We start from the raw sequence: 6,957 nt of genomic DNA, 5'->3' as shown, positions 1-6,957 counted from the left end.
TTGAGACCATCCTGGCTAACACGGTGAAACCCCATCTCTACTAAAAATACAAAAAATTAGCTGGGCGTGGTGGCCAGCGCCTGTAGTCCCAGCTACTCACTCGGGAGGCTGAGGCGGGAGAATGATGTGAACCCAGGAGGCGGAGCTTGCAGTGAGCCGAGATTGCACCACCACACTCCAGCCTGGGTGACAGAGCGAGACTCCATCTTAAAAGAAAAAAAAGAAAAAAGAATAATACGTTACTTATAGATCTTCTCCTTACCTCTGTTTATTGTCATGTTTTCCCACCATAATGCAAGGTCTAGAATGCAGAGACTTTGTCTGGTGTGTTCCCTGTGTCTGGAACAATGCCTGGCACACAGTAGAAACTTCATAAATATTTGTTAAATGAATAATTGAAAAAACAAGTCACAAAAATCTTTTACTTGTATTTATTTATTTTTGAGGCAGGGTCGCATTCTGTTACCCAAGCTGGAGTGCAGTGGTGTGATCTCGGCTCAAGGCAACTTCCACCCCTCTGGTTCAAGCGATTCTCCTGCCTTAGCCTCCTGAGTAGTTGGGACTATGGCCTCCTGCCACCATGCCCAGCTAATTTTTTTTCTTTTTTGAGATGGAGTCTTGCTCTATCGCCCAGGCTAGAGTGCAGTGGCATGATCTTAGCTCACTGCAACCTCCGCCTCCTGGGTTCAAGCGATTCTCCTGCCTCAGCCTCCGGACTAGCTGGGATTATAGGCACATGCCACCACGCCCAGCCAATTTTTGCATTCTTAGCAGAGACAGGGTTTCACCATGTTGGCCAGGCTAGTCTCGAACTCTTGACGTCAAGTGATCTGCCTGCCTTGGCCTCCCAAAGTGTGGGATTATAGGCGTGAGCCACTGTGCCCAGTCCATGCACAGCTAATTTTTATATTTTTAGTAGAGATGGGGTTTCACCATGTTAGCTAGGCTGGTCTCCAACTCCTGAGCTCAAGTGATCCTCCTGCCTTGGCCTCCCAAAGTGCGGGGATTACAGGCATGAGCCACTGAGCTGGTCGAAAATCTTTTACTTTATTTTTTTTTATTTGTTTCTGTTTTTAATCAATTAATTTTTTTCTTTTTTAATTTTTGAGACAGAGTCTTGCTCTGTCACCCAGACTGGAGTGCAGTGGTGTGATGTTGGCTTACTTCAACATCTGCCTCCCAGTTTAAAGCGATTCTCCTGCCTCAGCCTCCTGAGTAGCTGGGACTATGCCAAGCTAATTTTTTGTATTTTTAGTAGAGATGGGGTTTCACTATATTATCCAGGCTGGTCTGGAACTTCTGACCTCAAGTGATCCACCCGCCTCCGCCTCCCAAAGTGCTGAGATTACAGGTGTGAGTCATTGCACCCACCCAAAAATCTTTTACTTTAAATGTTAAAATGTAGCTTTTTTTTTTTTTTTTTTTTTTTTTGAGACAGAGTCTCGCTCTGTTGCCCAGGCTAGAGTGCAGTGGTGCGATCTCGGCTCACTGTAAGCTCGGCCTCCCGGGCTTACGCCATTCTCCTGCCTCAGCCTTCTGAGTAGCTGGGACTACAGGCACCCGCCACCAAGCCCAGCTAATTTTTTGTATTTTTAGTAGAGATGGGGTTTCACCGTGTTAGCCAGGATGGTCTCAATCTCCTGGCCTCGTGATCCACCCGCCTTGGCCTCCCAGAGTGCTGGGATTACAGGTGTGAGCCACCACATCCAGCCAAGATGTAGCTACTATTTTATTAAATGTTTGTTTGTTTGCTGGTTTGTTTGTTTGTTTTTTGAGACGAGTCTCACTCTTTCGCCCAGGCCGGAGTGCAGTGGCACTGTGTCGGCTCACTGCAACCTCCGCCTCCTGAGTTCAAGCGATTCTCCTGCCTCAGCCTCCCAAGTAGCTGGGATTACAGGCACATGCCACCGTGCCCGGCTAATTTTTGTGTTTTTAGTAGAGACAGGGTTTCACCATGTTGGTCAGGCTGGTCTCGAACTCCCAAACTCAAGTGATCTGCCAGCCTTTGCCTCCCAAAGTGCTGGGATTACAGGTGTGAGCCACTGTACCCGGCCTAAAAGATACATTCGTAACAATTTATAACACTTTAGGAAGTAATGTAAACATTTTGGGGAAAATTTCTTTAACATTTTGGGGGCATAACTTAAAGAAAGGCCTGAACTACCTCCAAATATAAATTTGGAAATGTTGAGAATTTGACTGAAAATAAGCTATTCTGCTGGGCATGGTGGCTCACACCTATAATCCCACCACTTTGTGAGGCTGCGGTGGGAGGATTGCTTGAGCCCTGGAATTGGCGACCAGCCTCGGCAACATAGTGAGTCCCCATCTCTATAAAATTTTTTTTTAATTAGCTGGGCGTGGTGGCACATTCCTGTAGTCCTAGCTACTTGGGAGATTGAGGTGGGAGAATCCCTTGAGACCAGAAATTCAAGCCTGCAAAGAGCTATGATTGTGCCACTGCATTCTAGCCTGTGTGACAGAGTGAGACCCTGTCTCCAAAAATAAAATAAAATAAGGCATTCTAATAAAGTTAACCAGAACAATCTGAAATCTTTTATGTTCTTTTCAAGAAGTCATGGTAAATCTTACCATGACTGAAATTCAAGGAACTTTGAACACCTGAAAGTATCCAGAAGAATCAGCGACTAAAATTGGACAGACAAAAAATGTAAAATATCATAGTTTTATGCTCCATCATATATTCACTAGCTCCTACTGCTTGCCTGAAAATATACACTTCTTTGTGCATGGCTCACAATTCTTCTTTGAGTACAGCTATTGTTGATACATTGAGCTCACAAGCTTCAAGTGGCCGAAATTGTTGCTTCTTGAGAATGTTTATAGATCTCTCTAAACGAGAAACAGAAAACAATATTCTTCCTTTGTTTCTTGCTTGGAATAAGTAAAGCTCAAAGTAACATGCAAAGATCAGAGGGAAAATGGGACTCCAACATAATAATTCTGAAGGGCTGGGCATGGTAATTCATGCCTTTAATCCCAGCACTTTGGGAGGCAGAGGCGGGCGGATCATGAGATCAGGAGTTCGAGACCAGCCTGGCCAACATGGTGAAACCCCATCTCTACTAAAAATACAAAAATTAGCGGGGCGTGGTGGTGTAATCCTCAGGAGGCTGAGACAGAAGAATTGCTTGAACTTGGGAGGGGGAGGTTGCAGTGAGCTGAGATCGCGCCACCGCATTCCAGCCTGGACGACAGAGCGAGACTCCATATCAAAAAAAAAAAAAAAAAATTCTGGAGGCTTCCGTGTTTGTCGATCATCACTAAAGAGATCTGTATATGGCTTCGGAAAACAAAAACAAACAATAAGAAAAAAAGCCCTTCAGAGATAAGGAGTTTTCCCTTCATGTTTTGTTGTTGTTGTTGGTTTGGTTTGTTTCTGGGGTGGAGTCTCACTGTTGCCCAGGCTGGAGTAGCGTGGTGTGATCTCAGCTCACTGTAACCTCTGCCTCCCAGGTTCAAATGATTCTCCTGCCTCAGCCTCCTAGGTTGGGACTATAGGCTCCCACCACCATGCCCGGCTAATTTTTGTATTTTTAGTAGAGATCGGGTTTCACTATCTTGGCCAGGCTGGTCTCAAACTGCTGACCTCAGGTGATCTGCCTGCCTTGGCCTCCCAAAGTGCTGGGATTACAGGTGTGAGCCATGGCACCCAGCTCCTTCATGTTAAAAACATGTACTGTGGGCATTCTCAAGGTGCCATGAGGAATCCAAAGGTGTCCATGACAGGTTCTTAGCCCTGGGTCTCTGCCTTTGTAATTCTGGGACAGATAAATCTGAAAGCCAAGGCCAATATAAAATGAAAATGTGAGCCCCTTGTTAAATTTTTTTTAAAGGAGAATTTCAAGACAGTGACAGCAGAACATTATATCTAGCACAGGGTGCTTCTAACTGTGGGGCCCCATGTGGCTATACATGTTGCATACTGATGTGGTTTGGATATTTGTTGCCTCCAAATCTCATGTTGAAATGTGATTTCCAATGTTGGAGGTGGGGCCTGGTGGGAGGTGACTGGATCACTGGGTGGATCCCTCATGAATGACTTAACACTATTCTCTTGATGATGAGTGAGTTCTCCTTCAGTGAGTTCACGTGTGATCTTGTTGTTGAGGAGTGTGGGACCTGCCTCACCCTCTTTTTTGCTCCCACTCTGGCCATGTGACATGCTGGCTCCCCATCACCTTGCACCATGATTGGAAGCTTCTTGAGGCCTTGCCAGAAGCTGATGTCAGCACCATGCTTCCTGTAAAGCCTGCAGAACCGTGAGCCAATTAAACCTCTTTTCTTAAATTACGCAGTCTCAGGCATTCCTTCCTAGTAATGCTACAACTGACTAATACACATACCCATGAAGTCGTTCCTCAAGAAAACCATTAAGGTAAAATAGAATGAAATAAATGCTAAAGAAATACAAAGGTGCAGAGGAAATAAAAAGGAAGAAGCAATTATGTACCCGCACTACAGAAAAGGAGTTAAAAGGCCGAACACAGTGGCTCAAGTCTGTACAATCCCAGCGCTGTGGGAGACTGAGGAGGGTAGATCACCTGAGGTTGGGAGTTCAAGACCAGCCTGGCCAACATGGCAAAACTTCGTCTCTACTAAAAATACAAAAATTAGCCCAGCGTGGTGGCACGCACCTGTAATCCCAGCTACTCGGGAGGCTGAGGCACAAGAATCACTTGAATCTGGGCGACGGAGGTTGCAGTGAGCTGAAATCATGCCACTGCACTCCAGCCTGGGTGACAGAGCAAGACTTTGTCTCAAAAAAAAAGGGGGGGCTAATAGATTATTGACAAACATGTTGCTACCTCACACTTCCCTCTCCTAGGTGTGGGTCTCTAACATCTCTGTCAGTGCACTTACCACCTCAAATGGTAATTATCTGTTTAGGAGCCAGCCTGCTCCACTACAACACTAAAGCTCCTGGAGGTCTGGGCTGTGCACTGCTCCATCTTTGGCCTTGTGCTAGCACAGCAGCAGCCATAAGCATCATAGTAGCAAGATCTCATGAACGTTTGTCCATGGATCTAACTATGCACCTGTCTGGGAGTGGCAGGAAAGTTTGACTTCACTGAGCAGGAGACATTTGAACAGGTCTTAAAAAAGTGGTTCAGGCCGGGCGCAGTGGCTCACGCCTTTAATCCCAGTACTTTGGGAGGCCGAGGCAGGCGGATCACGAGGTCAGGAGATGGAGACCACGGTGAAACCCCATCTCTACTAAAAATACAAAAAATTAGCTGGGCGCGGTGGCAGGCGCCTGTAGTCCCAGCTACTCGGGAGGCTGAGGCAGGAGAATGGTGTGAACCCAGGAGGCGGAGCTTGCAGTGAGCCGAGATCGCACCACTGCACTCCAGCCTGGGCGACAGAGCAAGACTCTGTCTCAAAAAAAAAAAAAGTGGTTCAAAAGAGGAAAGTACTTAAGTAGAGGAAAGAAGGCAAAAGAAGTGAAGACAGATAAATGTAACAAAGAAAAAAAAATTAGGTATAAGCAGCAGTATAGCTGCTTTTCTTAAAAGTCTGTGCCACCAGTCAGGATCCTTTTGGCCGCAGATGGCAGAAGCCCACCTGGAGGAGAAACAAGGAAGAGTAGAGGTGCAAGTGGGTCCCAGGACTGCCTGAAATCCCACTGTGATGTCGCAGGAATCTGTTTATCTTAATTTTCCCCACTACTCTGCCTGTGTATGGGCTACATGGCCTCTGGGAGGCCCCAGGAAAGGAGTCTTTTTCTTTTTCTTTTTTTTTTTTCTTTTTTTTTGAGGAGTCTCTCTCTTGTTGCCCAGGCTGGAGTGCAATGGTGCAGTCTTGGCTCACCGCAGTCTCCTGGGTTCAAGCGATTCTCCTGTCTCAGTCTCCTGAGTAGCTGGGATTACAGGCGCCCGCCACCACACCTGGCTAATTTTTGTATATTTGGTAGAGACGGGGTTTTGCCATGTTGGCCAGGCTGGTTTCGAACTCCTGACCTCAGGTGATCCGCCCGCCTCGGCTTCCGAAAGTGCTGGGATTACAGGCATGAGCCATCACGCCCAGCCAGGAGTCTTTTTCTTTAAGTATGAATAGAAAAATTCCAGGAAATTATTCTGATTGGTCTAGATTGAGTCACAGGCCTTGTGGTGATAGTTGGAAGTTAGAGGTGCCCACAAGAACCCCTGACTTGAGTCAGAGTAGTACTACTTCCCCAAAAGAAGCAGGATGCTATTATTAATGGAAAAGAGGTGTGCTATGTAAATACTACAAACTGGTAGTATCTACTGTAGAAGTGGCTTCCAAATCTTTTTGACCTTGGTTCCCAGCAAGAAATGCATTTGATTATTAGGACTCGCTATACTAGCAGGCTAGGTTCCCTTGGAAGCAGATCTGGGCTGGGGAGTTACATGCAGCCTGTTCACTGGGGAGCACCCTAGGAGCAGCACCTGTCAGAGAGCAAGGGATGCAGGACTGGGCAGAGGGAGAGGTTGAACTGTGATGCTCTTACAACCCAGGGGGAGCCTCAATTGATCCCAGAGAGAGTTCTGAAGGTGGGTCATCAGTGGTGTCCCAAATTGAGGCAAGAGTAGGGTGGCCAATCATCCCAGTTTATCTAGTTTGCCCTGGGTTTTCAGGACATGGGACTTTCTGTTTTAAAGCCAGGAAAGTCCCAGGCAAACCAGGACAAGTTGGTCACTCTGGGAGGGCTGGGCCTTTGTACCTACCTTTCAAATTGGCCAGTCACTGGATGTGGGCTTTCCCTGGGAAGGGGTCCTGATCCTGGGTTTACTCAACTCTCTCAGACCATGGGCAGCTCCTGGGGAGGGATTGAATTCTGAGTAGTCAGCAGGCAGCATTCATGGGAGCTGGGGACTGTGTGCCTTAGTCCTGAAGGACAGACTCTGGGTAGTACATCACAGCATCTTCTGCAATCTGCAATATATAAAACTAACACTAGGCAGGGTGTGGTGG

The sequence above is a fragment of the Homo sapiens genome, chromosome 4 (assembly GCF_000001405.40).
Source record: "Homo sapiens chromosome 4, GRCh38.p14 Primary Assembly".
Taxonomy (NCBI): Eukaryota; Metazoa; Chordata; class Mammalia; order Primates; family Hominidae; genus Homo; species Homo sapiens.
This window is presented reverse-complemented; position numbering follows the sequence as displayed.